Source organism: Homo sapiens, chromosome 10 (assembly GCF_000001405.40).
Source record: "Homo sapiens chromosome 10, GRCh38.p14 Primary Assembly".
Taxonomy (NCBI): Eukaryota; Metazoa; Chordata; class Mammalia; order Primates; family Hominidae; genus Homo; species Homo sapiens.
The window spans coordinates 94,222,021-94,242,423 of record NC_000010.11 but is presented as its reverse complement, the minus strand read 5'-3'; the positions used below and the strand labels follow the sequence as shown (position 1 = coordinate 94,242,423).

At 42.2% G+C, this 20,403-nt stretch overlaps 1 protein-coding gene across 32 annotated transcripts in view; it reads right to left on the bottom strand.

The window, feature by feature from the left end:
* PLCE1 (phospholipase C epsilon 1) overlaps window positions 1-20,403 on the bottom strand; it is a 338,893-nt gene that overhangs the window by 90,400 nt on the left and 228,090 nt on the right. For all 32 annotated transcript variants that reach the window (XM_047425285.1, XM_047425289.1, XM_047425297.1 and 29 more), the window contains 3 exons: window positions 14,973-15,118; window positions 8,112-8,370; window positions 6,304-6,509 (listed from right to left, as the gene is read on the bottom strand). In XM_047425285.1, coding sequence (XP_047281241.1) covers window positions 6,304-6,509; window positions 8,112-8,370; window positions 14,973-15,118 — 611 coding nt within the window. The remainder of the gene's footprint in view (window positions 1-6,303; window positions 6,510-8,111; window positions 8,371-14,972; window positions 15,119-20,403) is intronic.

The following is a 20,403-nucleotide window of genomic DNA, read 5'->3' as shown; positions in this document are numbered from 1 at the left end:
CACAAGAATTGCTTGAACTTGGGAGGCTGAGCTTGTAGTGAGCAGTGAGCTGGCATTGTGCCACTGCATTCCAGCCTGGGCAACAGAACAAGACTCTGTCTCAAAAAAATAAAAATAAAAAATAAAACAACAAAAACAAAAAAAACACAAGATCTGGGGTTACATGATATTTTATGCTCTTTTCCTAATGTTACTTCATAATAAAAAGTGAAATAAGAAAAAAATCATTTGTGTCTTATTTAGCTCCATCCCTCTGAAATTGCTCTCGGTAACACTGGAAAACCAATACTTATGTCCTCTTACACAATGGCTTCATACATGCCTGCTGCAGTCATCCTGGGTTTAATGTTAAACATCACCACCTGTTTCCTGTGTGACCTCATCAAAACACTCAACCTCTCTGAGCCTCACTATTAGATGGCAAAAAGACAATGCTCATCTCATAGAATAATGGTGAAGATCAAATAAGATAACAGTTGGAAAGCACTTAGCACAGCGCCTGTCTTGGTAAAGTACACTCATTAAATATAGGAAGACCAATTCTTTGCACTTTTCCTTTCTCACTTCCTCTTCTCTAGGCTACCTCAGCCCAGCCCAGCTGTTCCTCTAGAGGGGCTTTTTTTTTTTTTTTTTTCTGGAGATGGAGTCTTGCTCTGTTGCCCAGGCTGGAGTGCAGTGGCACAATCTCAGCTCACTGCAACCTCCGCCTCCCAGGTTCAGGCAATTCTGCCTCAGCCTCCTGAGTAGTTGGGATTACAGGTGCCCGCCACCACACCCGGCTAATTTTTGTATTTTTAGTAGAGACAGGGTTTCACCATCTTGGCCAGGCTGGTCTTGAACTCCTGACCTTGTGATCCACCTGCCTCGGCCTCCCAAAGTGCTGGGATTACAGGGGGGAGCCACCATGCCCGGCCAAGGGGCTTTCTTTTGGGACCATTTCCACATTCTCCATGTCCTACTTCTTGTTGTTTTAAGAGCAAAAAGGATTCAATTGGTGAGTGTTAGTACCCATTAAAATACAACATGTAAATTTGTACATAGAACTTCTGATTTTAATTTAGCAAGATAAATGGTGTTTTCCATATTCCATTTAAGTTCTGAGTTAAGTCAAGCATGTTCCAGTGAAATACCACAAGCATTATAAAAAAATAGTGTCTGGAAAGAAAAATTATAAGGCTTTTCTGGAGCCTGTTTCTGCTGCTCAGAGATGATGTAAGCTGGGAGAGAGGGGACGCTGTCTTTCTTGGCGTCAGTTTTTATTTTAGAATGCAAAAAAGAACTAATGCCAGATGGTAATAATTCCATTAAAAAGCAATCTTCCAGGGACTAATGCTCAAAATAAAATTGACAATTGTTTGTAATGAAATAAGTTCATTTCAAGCAGGAAACTAGTAGCTTTTGTCTCTTACATGATATAGTGAATGTTATGCAATTTTGTGCCTGATTCTCTTAGAAGATAATTTCCTGTGGGTTTACAAGAAGGGATAAGGTGGAATGTTAAGACTTATTTAGGAACTAAATAATGTTAACCGAAGATCAAAGATGTGGTTTACCAGCAAAGAAACTATCTTGTCAAACTCAGGTTGTATGCCTTAAGGAGAGGACCAAGGAGTAAAAATAGAAGAAAGGTTTTTATCCTGTTCCTAAAGAGCTTCCATGGTATCATTCAGTTAGAAACCGTAGACAGATAAATACTTGTCTAATGTTCCCTGATGAAAATTTTACATTGGGTGATCAACAGGTATTTGTTAACCTGGTTAAATATTTTCTTTGTAAGTGTTCGTTTGCTTCCTGCCAATTTAACATAATCCCTTGAACATGAATTACCACGTGACAAACAAGCGTAAATTTAATTTTTTAAGATAGAAGTAAATCTATGTCCTTTCCAAAGGACTTGCCACAGCTGTTCTCTCTAATAAAATCTAGCGTTTTTAATGCTCTCTTCTGGAAAATTCTTGCTTTTAATTAACCTAGCACCTTCCTTGACTATAAGCATTCTCTTATTATATGTGAGTAGTCTGTGGGTTTTGGAACCAGTCTGCCTGAATTTAAATCCTGGCCCTGCTAGCTATGAGAGTAAAATGGAACTGTTGTGAAGATTAAATAGTTTAATATATGGAAAGAATTTAGAGCAGTGTTTGCTTAAAGATAGGCTCTCAATAAACATTAGCATCTTAAATATTGCTAATGTTATTGTTGTCTGGCTTGAGTTTAAGTTAGTATCATAAAACAAAAGACATCCATACAAATAGAGCTTCTCTGTAAAAATGGTGTCCAAGTTTCAAGTTGAGATTTAAGTGAGAAAAAAGCCTAAGGTGAATGTTGTGCAGATAGTGGGAAAATGGTCTCTGTTACAAATCATGTTGGGTCTCAGGTGTTGGCCAAAGAAGCAGAAAGAGAGAAATACAGGATCCCAGGTATCCCCAGCAAAGCCAGAAAGTGAGACTGTATGAAGGTCTGGGCTGGGCTGAGGCAGCTGTTGCAGATAAAGGATGTTGTGTGTTGGGCATTGATAAGGTTGAGGCCTGTCTGCATCCTTCCCTGTGGAGAATAACTGATTTCCTATCATTTTATGATTTGGGGCATCCACATGCGTACGTGTGTGTGTGTGGTTAATCCTGGTAACTATTATCTTTTCTCAGATATTCTACTTTCTCATGCTTAGCTTTCTTTTTTTCCTATCCCTATGGGGTTGGATTATCGTCCAGGCGCGTCTCTAACGAGGTTATTGAGGTAGAAGGACACAGAAAATACCTCTTTGCAGTAAGGGAGAGGAGGATGACTGAGGATTGCCTCTGAAATGGTGATTACTGCCAAGGGTGTCCACACTTAAGTGCTGGAACCTCCTGTATTAGTCCATTTTCACACTGTTATAAAGAACTGCCCGAGTTTGGGTAATTATAAAGGAAAGAGGTTTAATTAACTCACAGTTCAGCATGGCTGGGGAGGCCTCAGGAAACTTACAATCATGGTGGACGGTGAAGGGGAAGCAGAAGGTGAAGCCTTGCTGCATCCTCTTCACAAGGTGGCAGGAAAAAGAATGAACGCAGGAGGAACAACCACACACTTATAAAGCCATCAGATCTCATGAGAACTCACTATCGTGAGAACACATGGGAGAAACCGCCCCCGTGATTCAATTACCTCCACCTGGTCTCTCCCTTGACACGTGGGGATTATAGGGATTACAAATCAAGATGAGAGTTTGGCTGGAGGCACAGCCAAACCATATCACCCTCAGAACTTCAGCTTGGTATTTTAAGGGTGTGATACACACATTAATCACGATAGCCACCATCTATATTGGCACTTATAGTATGCCGTGCAATTTGCTTAATTTATAATCCTCACAAAAACCCTATCAAGTAGTATTGTCATTTCCAGTTTACAGATGACAAAACTGAGGCTTAGTAAGATTCAGCTACCTACCTAGGTGACAGAAATAGTAAGAGGTGGTGTCAAAATTCAGTCCCAGGCAATGTGACTGGAAGGTTTGAGTTCTTAATCAGCTGAAGCAGCTTCCATTGTAGGTTTCTGGCATCATCTACTTATATCTTATTTTTCCAAATGTACAAATCCTTCTTAAGGTGCAGCATGCCAAAGAGGGTCAACAATATTGAAAATGATGACAATAAGAACTTGCAGCTCCTATATGACTCTATACTCTTCTCTACACACCTTCATACTCCTCATTTCTATTTCCCAACAATGGTGCCACATGCTACTCTTAGGTCTCCATGCCTCTATATGTTTTTAAACATACAAACGCATAGTTTATTTATTCTTTATGCTGGTAAATAAAAAAGTAATTATTAATGAGCATTATAATTCATATGAAATGTAATTGGAATGCTTTCAGAATTCAGATGTTCCTAATCTTCAGGAGTTAGACATAAAAAGAGGCTAAGGGTTAGTCTCTCTACAATCAAAAGAAATGCCTTAAGCATTTTAGGACAAAGGATCCTCCCCTGTGACTGAACACATGGTCAGGCTCATGACCCGGCTCTACTGTTTATTAGTCAGACAAGCGACTTCAGCTCGCTAGGCACAACTTCATCTGTACAGAAGTTAGACAAGCCTACTTGAAGACCCCATTGACATTTCAAGATTTTTTCAACCCAATTCCCTTCCTGCTGAGATCTTGAAGTTTGTTTTTTGTTGTTGTTGTAGAGACAAGGTTTCACCATGTTGCCCAGGCTGCTCTTGAATTCCTGGACTCAAGTGATCTACCTGCCTTGGCCTCCCAAAGGGCTGGGATTACAGGCATAAGCCACCGGGCCCAGCAAAAATAAATCTTGAACTTTTTATAATCACTTTTTGAGATTTCTATGAGTGTTTCTAGTGGTTTTCTGGCAGGAGTAGCTGTGAGGTTTGGGAAGAATTATAAGAGCACCCTGTAGGTGGGGTAAACCAAAGGACCATGAGATTGTCCCTTCTTTCTTTGCTGTAGTTTTCACAGGGCTGGTTGTTGCCAAGTGAACAGGGGCTAGAGGTTGCTGTTTGTAGAGTCTCTGTTTCAGCCAGATCAACAAAGCATAGTTCCTATGGGCTTTTCAATCTGCACATCTTTGGCACACATAACCCTGCACTGGACAAAACATGGGGCTCTCAATCAGGAATGGATTCCCAAGTCCCAGCAGATGGCCACAGAAATAGTGCTTACTGATCTGGTTTTGGTGAATTCTATTAAACAGCCCCACCAACCTAACTTGTGTGTTGAGGTTCCTTTCAGAGTAGCAGTCACTTGAGGTAAAGAAGCTATCACTGGCACTTAGGTACACAAGTTTCAAAGTGAGGATTTCAATATGACTTCACAGGTTTTATAAAAGAAATATCTGCATTTTTGTGTTTTTCTCCTCTTCTAAGAGTGCTTGCAGCAGGGCTTGGAAAATGGGCAGTGGAAGAGAAATGTTCTTAGGATGTACGTGATAAAATGATTAGGAAAAAGACAAGAGACTGTGGAGAAAATTAGAGACAAAAATTTCATAACGGGTGAAAATGATGCAAGAAAGTTACCACTTGAAGGAACTTCGAGGGAAAGGAAAGGATAGTCTAGGGGTCTGACACTCAGTAAAAGTGGCAGTCCTGAAGGTGTTTTAGAAAGGTCAAACGACATACACACACAGCCCCAGATGAAGCCACATTGTAAAGCTTCATCTTTAAAGATGAAGGCTCTTTAAAAAGAGCCATATGAAATTCATTATTTTATCTATTCCTATCTGATGTATCCTAGCCTTAACAGTAGGATTTAAGGAAGGAATTTCAGCCAGATCCAGTATGAGGAGAAGGCATTCTTCTCCCAAACATCTGTTTAATTTTTCTTACAAATACTGTGAAACTTATAATGAATTGTGATTTCCTCTTTCCTTTGACTGCTAGGAATCTCAGAACAAAATTTAGTCACTGTATAGACTACATAGTATACATTTTTGTATGTTTTATTTTCTCATATTCTTATTTTTCTTTTCTTTAATATCCTCAATTATTCATAGTTATTCTTAAAAGCATCTACAAAATCTTTTGTTGGAAGAAATAGATATATACATAGATGCCGAGAGAGAGAGAGAGGGAGATTAAGAACTTAAATGGCTCTGAGAGGCTTTCTGTGCAGAGGTGATTATTTGCAGATGGTCTTCTCTCTATATATAGATTGCCACTAATGTTAGCAACCTGTTAAGTGAAAAATCTTTGAAATAATCTCTGAGAAACTGGAATTACTGAGCAATTTAAAAACCTGCAGATGCCTTGTGTGTGTAGGGTTAATTTTAACACACCTTACAGAGCAGTGTTTCTCGAAGTGAGATCACTAACCCTCGACTTAGAATCACCCAGAGGTTGGCAGAGATAAAAATACTGATTTCTAGGTATCACCCAGACCTAACTAAGTCAGTAGATTTGATTTAAAAATATCTTAATACCCACCCTAGTACCCCACCCAAGAATTAAAAAAACCACTGTTACAAAAACTAGGAAATAAAAGATCACAGCTCTCCTTCTGAAATTTAATGTGTTGAATTCTTAGAAATGGCAGGATAGCTCTAGGTTTTTGTTTTTTTTTTAAAGGGGTAACAGATGGTAAGAAGTTAAATTATGAGCAGTAATTTTAGAACAAAGCAGCAAAATGAGAAAGGTAAATGTGAATTTGGAATTGGTAAGGTTTGAAGATAAAGAAGTGTGGCTTAATGATAAAAGTGGCAGGTTTTGATGAGGTGTCCATCTGAAACTAAGCTGAAGTAGGAAACAACTCATCAACAGGAAAAAAGAAGAGATGAGCATTCCTCACTTTTAACGTGTAAAACTTACTGCCATCGGCTTTTATCCTTCAAGGAGCTTTTCCTGGAGCTGTTTCCTTCACTGGGGCTGTCCTCCTCGTCTGTCTCCAGACTTCGATTGCAGCTCCGGATGACCTGAAAGATGCTGTTGACAGTGGACTCCTTCTCCGAATTCTTTAAGCCATTTTGTCCCACTCGTTGTAAGAAATTATCTTGTCCACTGTAATCTGCTACAAACTACAAAAAAAAATCGAGAATTTGCTATTGCAACTTAATATGCCTGGATAACATACTTGGCTAGGGAAATGAAATCATAAAGTAATAAATAATGGCATTTGTGCCTATTTTATGGGAAAGAAAACAAGAGCCTCCAGGAAAAACATTTTTTCATTTCACCACATGAAATATCAAAACTCACCCTTGTTTCCACTGAGACAACTTTAATCCCTCTGGGAATCGACACTCCACTTCAAATTTAAAACAAAAAAAATATTATTTCAGGGCTCCCTAAGGAGAAGATTAGCCAATTTGCAGAGGAAGAGCATGGTTATTTTATCCTTATAGTGAGAACTGAGAAAAACCATGAGTAAAGTATGCTATTCTATGGAACCAGAAAAAATGACTGGGCCCAAGCAAAACACTGAGAAGAGGTGATGTTTTGCTTTATTGCTCATGTGTTCTATAATAACACAGTGGCTTCTTCCTGGTTTTTAAGCTCTTTAAGCCTTATTGTTCATACAGTTGATTAGGAAGCTTCTCTCATCAGAGGTGAGAGCTGTGTCTGGGATAAGAGATGTGGAGTTCCCTCTTCTTAAGACATGAGGAAGCTAGGGGGTGTGGCCCGGGAGTCTTCCTTTAAGCTTTCTCCTCCATTTCTTGCCCTTTTATCCTAGCTCATAACCCAGAGAGATGCCGGTGGTGTTGCCTGTACCTGTCAGGAGCTCTTAAGTCTTTCTGATATCAGGTGATGCCTTTGCTCCCAGGTGACAAAGAAGAGGCTGAAGGTTGAGGAGAGTCTTCCCACTCCATGGAGAAGGCATGTACATGACTCTGTGTGTGTGTGTGTGTGTGTGTGTGTGTGTGTGTGTGAAAGGTCAGTAGTAGGTTCTGTCATCATGGCAGGAATGATCCTAGATTTGGGTTTGGTCCCCGGTAAGGGACTTCTCAAAATCTCCATAAAGTTCTTTCCATTTTAGTCACTTCTTTCATTTTTAAACACCTTGGAGGGAGCCTCCTTATCTTTTCCCTCCAGTTTCTCAACTCCCCTTCTCTCCAATGCCCAATGCCTTGGGTCAAAGCTCACACTGTCCCTTCTGCTCTGGGAATCAGGAACAGGAGGCAATGGATCTGGGAGAAACAAGGCTCTGAGGATCAGGAGCCTGGAGCTTGTCTCTACATGCGTCTCCAGGCTCCCCAGCATTTTCCCACAAAGGATGAACAGAAAGCAGTGTTGACTTCCCCTCTTTTTTCTTCCACTGATGTGGAAAACTTAATACTCTCAATTGACTGTCTTCATCCCCTGCATCCAGACATTCCCACCCAATAAGAAAAACCTGTCAATCTTTAAAAACCATCAGAAAACAACACCCTTTTTGACTTGTACTTACATATTAAACCTAATACATTAAAACTAACTTCACAATACTATGTCCCACACAGCGCTAGTTGGCATTCTTTTCTACAGAACTTCCAAGGATCTATGTGCTACCCAGAAATAATATAACAACTATTAACCCTGTGTTCAATCAGTGATCATTTCTTTGGTGAGCACAGACAGGGCCTGATGAGACAGCCAGCAACAGTGGCTCTTCAGGCCACGATGATTCTGAAAGGCCTTACCTCTAAAGTTTCTTCTTGGGAATTGTACCGCGGGCAAAGCTTCATGAGACCGGAGGCGCCGTCAAGCACTTCACAGAGCTCCTTCAGAAACACCCCACAGAATGGAACCACCTTACAGCCAGGGATGTGCAGGGCACGTGTCACCACCTTTCTGTACTCACAAGAGGACTCATGCTGGGCCATAGCATCCTTCAGGCTCCTCATGGTCTCAATATCAGACTGGTCCATGAACTGCCACATTTTTAAAACTTTTCTTGACCTATTGCAAGTAAATGACATTTTTCAGACTGAAGGAGAAATAATATAGTTTACAGCAAGGAGCCTAAATTCCATACAAATTCATTCTTTTTACCATTTTTTTTTTTTAGGTGGAGTCTCACTCTGTTGCCCAGGCTGGAGTGCAGTGGTGCGATCTTGGCTCACTGCAACCTCTGCCTCCTGGGTTCAAGCGATTCTCCTGCCTCAGCCTCCCTAGTAGCTGGGATTATAGGCGCGCGCCACTATGCCTGGCTAATTTTTATATTTTTAGTAGAGACGGGGTTTCGCCATGTTGGCCAAGCTGGTCTCGAACTCCTGACCTCAGGCGATCCACCTGCCTCGGCCTCTCAAAGTGCTGGGATTACAGGCATGAGCCACCGCGCCCAGCCCCAATATTCTTTACTTGTTAATATTTATGTAGGGTTCCTATCCCCACCTACTTCCCCAGATAATATGAATAATACTTTTGTAAATTGAAACTGAAAAATAAATAGGACAGATACAAACACAAATAGGCATATGGGACGCGTTAGTTATGGAAGCTGGGCACTGAATGTAGGTTTGAGTTTTTCTGGCAGCTATGGCCAAAAGGGGAAAGTAGAGGGTAATGTGGTTTGTACAGATATTGGTGGAGGAGGACTGCCTGGGGAAACTTGGCCCATCTGGCCCTCTTGATCTTTTAAATATTACTCTTGGATCAATCCAGTCCCTTAGTGATCAACATGAAGCCCATTGTTTTCACCTCTTCTGTAGAATTGATTTTTACTGAATCAAGCTTTGACATGAAGCCACCAGCCCATTTTGGGGGACCTTGTTGTAAAGTATTATTTGCATTACAGGATGTTAAGTGGGACTTTCCCTATTCTGAAACTCCTGCTGAGACCCACAGATGACAATGCACCACACCTTCTAAAGAGAGGCCCTCACAAGGTGTTACCTGAACTGCTTTGCCCACAGTGGTCTCCCACTCTCTTTCAGCCCATGCAGAGAAAGTGGATCTGAGCAGATAGCTTGGGAATATTTCTCTGGGGGGAATTGTGGGAGAGCTCACCTTTCTGTGAGAGGATGAAGTCACCCCAAGTGCAGGGGGCAGTAAGTGAATTCCCTGGGGACATTGACCTGTGTCCCGGGCAGTCTGTAGATCACGTGAACTGGTGCATGACTCTTGCCTAAAGATTTGAGGCTAGCTGGAGCTCCCTGGTGGCAAAGGGAGAGAGGATTCCAGTAGATATGTCCTGTGCTTGCAGAGTTGGGAGGGCAACATGCTGACTATTTCCTGTGAGTCAGGAGGGGATACTGTGCAAAGAGGTGGGGCTTGAGCTGTCTTGAAGGGTCTGCCTGCCAAATGAGGCGACCCTAGCAGAAAGGGCCTGTGAGGACAGGACCCCAGGGGGTGAGGAATAAGAGGTTGACCAGAGGGTACACTGCATTTTGCTAGGTAATTGTGCAGTGGGGAGATGGAAAAAATTAGAGAGAGTAACTAGTAAGAAAACCTAAAAGCACCCTCCATTGGTCTCTGTGAGGGCACCAAGGCCAGATTACAACTGCCCCATCAAGTAAGACTCTGTGCTCCCTCTATCCCCATCCTTTCCCATCTCCTCTCCTGTCCACTTCTTTTCTGCAGACACCCAGTTGCAGGGAAAAGGAAGAAAAAAGATAAACTCTATCTTCCTCACTACTACAAGTCTCTGAGACTGGTTGGGTTGTGAAACGTAAGGAAGGGAAGAAGATATATATTGAATGAGATATTAAAATTTTGATTTAGATTAACTGGGTTACAAAATCACTGTGTAATATATAAGACATCCAAAGACATAAAGAAGTACAACATGACAAACACCCATGTGCCAATCTCTCAGTTTAAAAAATCAAACATCAACAATGTGGTTGAGGCCCTAGTGTATTCCTCCAAGAGCACATACTCTATTCTTCCCTCACCAGACAGGACCACCACTGGTACTTTGGGGTTCTCCTTTCCTTAAAATTCTTAATACTTTTCCAACATATGCATATATCACTAAGCAAGTTACAGAATTGTGTATTTTTAAACTTTATGTAAATAGTATCACATGGTAGATAGTCTTAGACCAGGGGTCCCCACCCCTGGGCCGCAGACCAGTACTGGCTCATGGCCTGTTAGGAACTGGGCTGCACAGCAGGAGATGAGCAGCGGGCAAGCAAGCATTACAGCTTGAGCTCTGCCTGCTGTCAGATCAGCAGTGGCATTAGATTCTCATAGCAGCGCAAACCCTACTGTGAACTGTGCATGTAAGGGATCTAGGTTGCACGCTCCTTATGAGAATCTAATGCCTGATGATCTGATGTGGAACAGTTTCATCTGAAAACCATCTGCCCCCACCCCCACACCCCGAGTCTGTGGAAAAATTGTCTTCCATGAAACTGGTCTCTGATGCTAAAAAGGCTGGGGATCCCTGTTTTAAACAACTTGCTTTTTTTTTTTTTATACAGCCTTAAATTTGCAAGACTCATTCATATTCAAGAGCATAGGAGAATGAGATTGTGTGTTAACTAGGAAAGTGACTGGAAAACTACAGGATCTCTCAATGTAGCATAATCCAGGGTTGAGGGAGGGAGAGCTAGTTGGAAGCTTTGAAAGGCAATCAAATCAGAAAAGTAAAAGCATTTTATGATTTCATCCCACTAAATCCAGCTTGTCCTATAACTGGATTCTTATAAGACAGTGAGAATTCTTTTTTGGGGAATGAAGTGGAGGTTACAAACAAATGAAGTGAATGAATGAATGAGACATGGTTCTCACTGGTTTCTTATTGTGTGAGTAATGAAGTAGTTATGGTTCACTTGGGGGCAAAGGGCAAACTTCAGCAAAGATCAATTCTTTATTGTTGAATTGAGAATTGAAACTATTTTTAAAACTTTTATTCATCTTTATGATTATAAAGATACTACTCATTGTAGAAAATCTAGAAAATATCAAAAATATAGAAAACCCACTTACAATTCTACCACACACAGACATTAGGTATATTTTCTTTCAGTATTTCTTCTATTCTTGTCTATATGGGCATATAAATATTGCTGAGGTTATTAGGGATAGACAGTTTTGTTCCCAGATAGATTCATGTATTATGTGTCTCCTGCTTTCCAATGATATAAAAACTTTTCAGGCCAGGTGCAGTGGCTCATGCCTGTAATCCCAGCACTTTGGGAGGCTGAGGCAGGGGAGATCACTTGAGGCCAGGAGTTCCAGACCAGCCTGGGAAACATAGAAAGACTCCATCTCTAAAAAAATTTTTTTAAATAGCCATTGTGCTGGTACACTCCTTGTAGACCTAGCTACTTGGAAGCCAAAGTGGGAGGATTACTTGAGCCCAGGGTAAGAGGTTACAGTGAGCTATGATCTTGCTCCTGCACTCCAGCCTGGGTGACAGAGTGAGATCTTATCTCTTAAAAAATTGTTTTTTACCTCATGCCTGTAATCCTAGCACTTTGGGAGGCTGAGGCGTGTGGATCACTTGAGGTCAGGAGTTAAAGATCAGCCTGGCCAACATGTTGAAAGTCCATCTCTACTAAAAATACAAAAAAATTAGCAGGGCATGGTGGCGTGCCTGTAATCCCAGCTACTTGGGAGGGTGAGGCCGGAGAATTGCTCAAATCTGGGAGGTGGAGGTTGCAGTGAGCGAAGATTGCACCACTGCACTCCAGCCTGGGCGACACGGTGAGGCTCCGTTTAAAAAAAAAATTTTGTTTTTTATAAACATCATTTTTGATGGCTATATAATATTCCATTACCTGGATATAGCATATTATTTCCTTTAACTATTTTCCTATTGTTGTTCATTTGGGTTATTTTAAACTGACACCATGACTGAGTAAATACTCTTGATTGTAAATATTTGTACTTCTTACTAGTGGCTTAAGAGAGCTAAGAATTTAGTTAGAGGAAGCAAAATGTACAATGTCCATAAAAAAACCAAAGTCACTTAATAAGTATGCTTTCTCTTCCCATTTAATTGCTTAAAAAATAAAAAAAATCTCTATTATGTTGGTAATAGTTAATTGCTTGGAACCTAAACACTTTCAAACCTAAAAGTGCACATATAAGCTCTGCCTCCATAATCATTGCATCATAAGAGTATCTGGCCACTTATCTCCTGTGTACAGAATAGCTGTCAACAAAAGACCTATTATACGTGGTACTTTCGCCTATCTATCTGTAAAGATCAGTTTAGTTTTAAGCCAAATATAGGAGCATGAAACTAGGCAGCAGTGGGTCTGGGGTGTGAGACAAAATGCACTGGGATCAATGTTGAGGTCTGTCCTGGTTTGAGATTATTCCTCATTTAGGGAAATCACCAGGTTCTATGGTCTTCTTGGATTTTGGATTTAAACTCAGTTGAATCTTAAAGTCCCATTCACTCTAGGCCTCCATAGGTCACTCTGAGGCCGTTCCTGTAATAAGAGAATCTAGAACATGGTATGTGGCAGCCAGCCTCCAAGACGGCCTCCCATGGTCCACATCTCCTGATTTTGTGGCTTTGTGCAGTCCCCACCCACAAGGAATCCATGCTGTCCTATGTGATCAGTACAATATGGCAAGAGTGACTATGTATGATTCCCAAGGCTATCATATAAAAGGCATTGCAGCCTCTGCCTCCCTCTCTTGGATCACCCACTTCAGAAGGAGCCAGTCACCGTGCTGTGATGGCAGTCATGTTGTGGGGTCAGGAAGCAAGGTCCCTGGCCAACAGCCAGCACCAACTTGCCAGACACAGAATGATAAGCATCATTAAAATAAAATGACTTTATCAAAATATGATAATTCTTTTCTTAAAAGAAATGTAATACATATTTTCTTTTTTCTGTTTTTTTTTGTTTGTTTGTTTTGTTTTTTGATACAGAGTTTCCCTCTTATTGCCCAGGCTGGAGCGCAATGGCATGATCTCGGCTCACTGCAACCTCCACCTCCTGGTTCAAGCGATTCTCCTGCCTCAGCCTCCTGAGTAGCTGGGATTACAGGCGCCTGCCACCATGCCCAGCTAATTTTTGTATTTTTAGTAGAGATGGGGTTTTACCATGTTGGCCAGGCTGGTCTCAAACTCCTGACCTCAGGTGATCTACCCACCTTGGCCTCCCAAAGTGCTGGGATTACAGGCATGAGCCACCGTGCCCGGCCTACACGTTTTCTTTATAGAAAATTGATCACAAAGAGAATCTAAATCATCTGGATATAACCTCCTGTTCTCCAAGGCTTTGTTTTTTTTTCTCCCCACTTTTTCCTTCTTTTGAGCCATGCCTGATGCATTTGTATGACTATTTTAAATGTCAAGGACATGATCATTTGGGTTTATTCTAAGTTAAGAAAGTTGAAAACGACAAAAAAAAAATTAGAACTCTGGGAGTTTTCATCTCCTCCCCTAACCCAGAATCCCTACCTAGGGACCTGGAGAATCAAAGAAAAATCTCAGTAATGTTATGAACTAACATTCCTTTATAGTGAGAACCCTCATGAGGATGGTGAATCTCAGGAAGCAATAACAATATCAATAGCTTCTCTTTATGAGGCCTTACTATACGCCACGCACATGTGTCAAATACTATATTATTTCACTGAATTCTACCTAAAGATGTAGGTGCTTTTTAGTATTATCCCCATTTTGCAGACAAAGTAACTGAGGCTCAATGAAGTCAAGTAGCTTGCCTGGATCACACAGGTATTCCTTGGGGGAATCAGGATTTGATTCCTGGATAAGGATTTGATTCCTAATTTGATTCTAACTTAAGAACTCATGCTCTTCTTCCTCACATACCATGCTGCCTCCCACAGGAGTAAGAACAGTTACTTTATGCCAGGTAGCTGAGGCTAAAAGGGGATAAAGCAGGCAACCTGATGAACAGAATGGTGATTTTGTTATTAGCTTGATGGAAAAAGCATAAGAACAGGATATCATAGTGGTCAAGCTCATGGGCTCCGAAACCAAGGTTGCCTGTATTCCCAGCAATGCCAGGTGACCTTGGGTGAATGACTTAATTTCTCTTAGCCTTAGCTTCCTCTTTTGTATAATGTGGGAATAAGAATAGTATCTACCTGATAAACCTGTTTTGAGAATTAAAACATACAATATAGGGAATGTGCATAGCTCATACTTGACATATAGTGTTTGTTAATAATGAGAGCTTACATTATTGGAGGCCTATTGTCAATGCTAGCCACTGTTATTACTAAGGGCAGTTGGTGGTCTATAGCATATAGCCCTGGAACACTACATAAGGCAGGCCTGAAAAGAGACAGATAACAGTGGGGTTTACAGGACAGGAAGGGGAATAGTCAGTGGTGGGGTTGATCGGGTTATGCAACCAAGTAATTTCACTTGGCTTGGCAAAGAACACAGGATCACAGCAGACCCAGTGAAGTAGGATTGTGACTGGCCCACAGGGGCTGAATTCTGCAGCATCTTTGAGGGACAGGGCCTTTGGTGCTGAAAGAAGATAATACATTTCCCAAGTTAATCATTTCCAGTTACCTGGCTTGGGTAAAGGTGAGTCCCTGGACAATTAATTCAGTGCCATTCAGGTGATGAGAAGCGATTGTGCCAAGATAACCATATTCCCCACTGACTATACCTGAGGCCAGCCAAGAACTCCATGACAGCGTTGTAGTTGCCCATGTTCCAGCAGCATTTGGCCACATGCACCAAATATGAAAAGACTTCTCGCTTCTCCTCCATGGAGCCTGCCGTGAGGATCAGCCATGTCACCCAGGAGCTCACCTGGAAAACACACAGAGACATTCACGGGAATTATGTCCTAGAAGCTTGGCAATTTTTTTTTCCAAAAGCATTCTTTGTTTTTCTAAAAATATCAATTTGGTATTAGGAAATGAAAGACCTGTAGGTCCTGGCTGGGCGTGGTGGTTCACGCCTGTAATCCCAGCACTTTGGGAGGCTGAGGTGGGCGAATCACCTGAGGTCAGGAGTTTGAGACCAGCCTGGCCAGCGTGGTGAAAGCCCGTTTCTACTAAAAATACAAAAATTAGCTGGGCATGGTGGCAGGCGCCTATAATTCCAACTACTTGGGAAGCTGAGGCAGGAGAATCGCTTGAACCCTGCCTCAGCTTCAAGGTTGAAGGTTGCAGCGAGCAGCGAGAGGCAGAGGTTGCAGCGAGCCGAGATTGTACCACTGCACTGCAGCCTGGGTGACAGAGCAAGGCTCTGTCTCAAAAAAAAAAAAAAAAAAAAAAAAAAGACCTATAGGTCCTTAATCTCTTATAACTCTCTCTTTATTTTCTTTAAAACAAGAAGGCTGAAAAAGGCAATTCATAAAATCCTTTGATTGAAAAAATTTCTTTTGACTATAAGAAAATAAGGCCTAAGGATAATTTTGATTGAAAGATATTTGACTGATGGACATTAAAATGAAATGTACTTAACCCATCAGTTAAAGACATTTACTAAGTATTAAAATACATAATATCAAAGGAAAAATAAAAACATTTTTAAACAATCTTTTACAAATGCTTTATCTATTATGCCCCTCAAATGACAAAATATTATGAACAAATATTTATAGAGCACTTATTATGTGCCAGGAGCCATTCTAAGCACTTTACCTATATTACCTCATTTATCTCTCACAACAATTCTAAGAGTCAGGGACTGTTACTGTCCTCAGGGATGTGTGTAAGGTCTTCAACCACGTTGAAGGTAGCAAAGCCTAGGTTTGAACTTAGGGTGTCTTCTCCAGAGGTTGCATTATCAACCACTCACAAAATGCCTGATGTGTTTACACAAACTCTAATGTTCTTCAGTTCTGGGCTTAAAGTTATTCTAATGTGATTCGTTTTTCCTGCTACACAGACTGGAGGACAATATTTAAAAATAATCCATGTCTACACCCTCCCCTTATGATATGCAGCCTCTAAATCATCTGCTTCTGCTCTATGATTATTTTGCTGCCACCTTTACTTTGGTGCTTAGATGCTGGTGTCCACCTAAGTTACCTTCTCTATCCTGACTAGCATCTGGGTTGATAAGCTTGGTTGTCAACAGACCAAAGTCTTGGTCTTGACCTCACATGGCCCTACAAGCTCCGCTTGGTTCAGCATCAGTGCTGAAGCCTGGACAGCAACACTTTTCTCTGGACTAAGTTAGAGAGGCCGGAACACAGAGTTTATGGTGACCCATGACAACTGCAGGAAATAAGAGCTCAAGGTCAATGGCATACTGCCTGTAAGTGGATAAAATGATAAGAATTAATGGCATTGAGTGCTGGCAGCAACCACAGAGGGCAGTGCAACCCCATTTTTCCAGATCGAGAATCTATGGCTCATGGGAGAAGTGACTTTTCAAGGTCACAATTCTTGTTGATGTCAAAAGTAGGACTCCCAGCCCAGTGCTCTTTCATCTGGTGAAAGTTGACAGTTTCTTTCTTTCTTTCTTCCTTTTTTAGACAGAATCTTGCTTCGTTGCCCAGGCTGGAGTGCAATGGTATGATCTTGGCTCACTGCAACCTCGAGTAACTGGGATTACAAGGCCTGCCACCTCGCCCGGCTAATTTTTGTATTTTTAGTAGAGATGGGTTTCACCATGTTGGCCAGGCTGGTCTTGAACTCCTGACCTCAAGTGATCCACCCACCTCGGCCTCCCAAAGTGCTGGGATTACGGGCGTGAGCCACCGCACCCAGCCGAAAGGTGAGTTTTTTCAGACTTGGCTCTGGGTAGGTCCTCCTAAGCACTCAGTTTTGAGCTGCATATGTGAAGGCAGAGCAGGAATAAAAGGAGAAAATACTGAGAAGAGTCCAAAATATGACTAAAGAGATGAAAAAAACAAAATGAATGGTTGCTCACACCTCTTTCCTATCCCTACATAGAAACAAACAGGAAAATCAGAGCAACAGGGAGTTTTAGTGATAAAACAGGTCTATTCTCTGGTATGAGCCAGAGGCACTGGAGTAATTAATAATCTTCCTCTTCCCTTCTGAAACAGACTGAAGCAAAACGTGCTGGGCTACCTGCCACCCTCAAGCTCAGTCCTGAGCCTAGTGGGCTCCCAGCATGTGCCTCTGCCCTCCATCTGTACTGGACTTCACTGGGCCCTCAGGTGGCATCAGGAGAACAGGTCTGGAATCAGACCCTTGGGACAAACCCTGGTCCACATCATCCCAGGAACTGTCTGGGATTCCTAGTGCTGACCCGTCTCCTGCAGCTATGAGTAACCCCTTGCTCACAGTCTCCATGCCTGTCCTCTCACTTGATTCCTTGGTTAAAAGTCACCTTTGTGAAACCCTGGCTCACTAGAGCAAGAAATTATTTTGCTAACAGAGACTGAGTCATTGGTGCATCCATCTAATTCTTCCTTTAGTCTGACTGGCTTTTGATGAGCCCTATCCTAAAATGGGAAACCATCAGCAAACACTTAGCATCATAACCCTACTGACTCTTTGAGTTGGAAATTCAAACACTTCTCACAAATAAAAATGAGATCCTGAAAAGTAAAAAAACAGTTTCTCAAAGCCACCCAACTCATTAGTTGTTGAGGCCTCTGGCTATATTGTCTCTATGGCTTTAGCTCCTTTCTAGTTGAAATTGATGGCAAATCAGGGTCTCTGGAAAGTTGTCATTCTTTCAGGCTGTTCTGATACCATGCATTGACTTACTAGTCCAGTGGCTGGAAAGGGTTAACTCACCTCCCCCTGGAGAGGTCTGCTTCACAGGGCAGGTGGAGACCACCACTTGGTTTGTGTCACAATCCTGATCACTCATCCAGATTTATTTCCTATCAGTCAAATCATTTTCCATATACTTTCCCACAATGCTAGGAAAAAAACAGCGATACCATATTTCACATGGAAACCTAATTTAAACCAACTGTTCCATTGCCGAGTGTGAGTCCCCAGGGCCCTGGTTGTTGAGATTATGTAAGCACTGTTATCATAAACACACACACAGACACACCACACACACACACACACACGCACACACACCCCAACATCTGTTTACAAGCCTCACGGACAATTCTTATTATGGTCTGATGTATTCATAATTTTATAAGCATTAAATGGTGAGAGGGCCACCGCTAGTTATAAAATAATAAATGACACAAAAAGGAAATGAAGATTCAGTGACAAATGTCAAAATGTTGACCAAAGCATAAAAGGTGGTCACATTTACTAAGTGGAAAATGGGATGTGTTGCCAATCCAGAAAGAATTTCTGTGCAATCACACAGAAAAACAAAAAAATCATATAAATATAAAGTACTATGGTTTAGGCATAGGGAGTGCTACTAGAGCAGAAAGGTGTTAATGGTAGCAGATTATTTTGCTTATTTCAATAGTAAGCACAGAATGAGGAGAGAATCTGGCCCCCAGCCCAATTCTTTAAGCACCTCTCCCAGAAGGTTCTGGGCTTACCCTGACATCATAACCCCCTGGACCATGCCCACAACTCCTCCACAACTGCCCCTCCCAAAATATCTTTTTTTCCTTCCTTTTGCTTTTCTCAGTACTCTTGGGCTTAGCCAAATAGAACAGTTTACTCCCTCTCCTCACATCAAATACCTTATTGGTGTCACACATGCTCATTTTGGAAGGAATTTTCTTGCATCATTCAAAATGACCTTTCCCTGGTCCACCATGTCTTGCTTGTGTCCTCTGCAAAGCCAAATCTTTACTTTGGCCCACCAGGCCCCTGTCCATTCTCCAATCACCTCACCTCTCCCCTATATCCCTCCTTTTAGGGAGGTAAAGTAGGCTTTTTAACATCTCAGGAATCTTGAACTGGTTGTTCCTTCTGCAGGAAGGCTTCCCCATCACCCCAGATTCAATTTTTTTTTTTTTTTTTTTGTAGAGATGGAGTATCACTATGTTGCCCAGGCTGATCTTGAACTTCTGGCCTCAAGTGATCCTCCCGCTTCCGCTTCCATAGCATTGGCATTACAGTTGATCCACCACACACGGCCTGGCATTTTATTCATTGAACCCTACTCATCCTTTAGGCAGCACTGCCCTGAGACCATGCCATCAGGATCCTGCCCTGGACCCCAGGTTTCAGAAGGCTCCACACTGGCTGTCGTCCAGCTGTGCCCTCTCCATAGAGTAAGAAGTCTATGGGGTGGAGGGGACGTGCCTGTCCATAGGCTGCACACTCACTTCTAGATAATTTATCCCTTGTAAACCCACGCTTCCCAAATTCCCTGTCCAAACAGCACCAAGCCCACTGCTGGTCTGCAAGGGCTGTTTATCTGGATCAGTCCTTCAGAGGGTAGATTGTAACCCCTAGGCCTAAAGCCAGGCCAGAGGGCAGTGGGGGTGGGGGTGATGTGTGGACAGGGTTTGAACTTGAGGCCTGAGGTATACATACTCTGGCACACAAGCCAGGATGGGAAGAGAAGGTGGGAAGGCCAACATGCTGGGGCCTCCCTTGTACTCACGCCCTGGCCCCCTAAAGGAAAGGGTGAGGCTGCCTTCAGGAGTCTGATAAAAACATCATTTTCTTGAGCAGAACTTCCTTGACTTCCCACCTGGAGTGTGTCCACACACTGCATGCTCTGTGGTGCCCCCACATCACCCTGACCCTAGCGCACATTTAGTGCTGTGATCCTCATTAAGGCAGATGCTGGATCTGCTATGCTCACGGGTAAGCAGCAGTGTCGGTGACCTGTCAGGATCTGCCCTCGGTAAGTTTAAACAAGAGTCAGCGAAGGAGTGAACATATGAATGAATGAATGAATGAATGAATGAATGAAGCTTACCTCCTCTAGGGAGGCTTTTCTCATGGTTCACCTAGCACCTTTCATTCCATTTCTTCCTACTTCTCTTTGACTTAATGTAGGACCTTGAGTTCAAAGTTTCACTTGTATTCTCACCACTGCATGGATCTGCCTCTGGTTTATTTTTGTTATATTTGTGTGCCTGACTCTTTCACATGGGCCTGTTCTGTCTCCCCCAGCAGACCCTTAGACCTCCAGGACAGAGACCATCTTTCCCACATTTCCAGCATGGAGTTGCTCAGTGTCTCTGGCAGACAGGCAGGCCATCCAGAGTCCCAGGAGGCCGT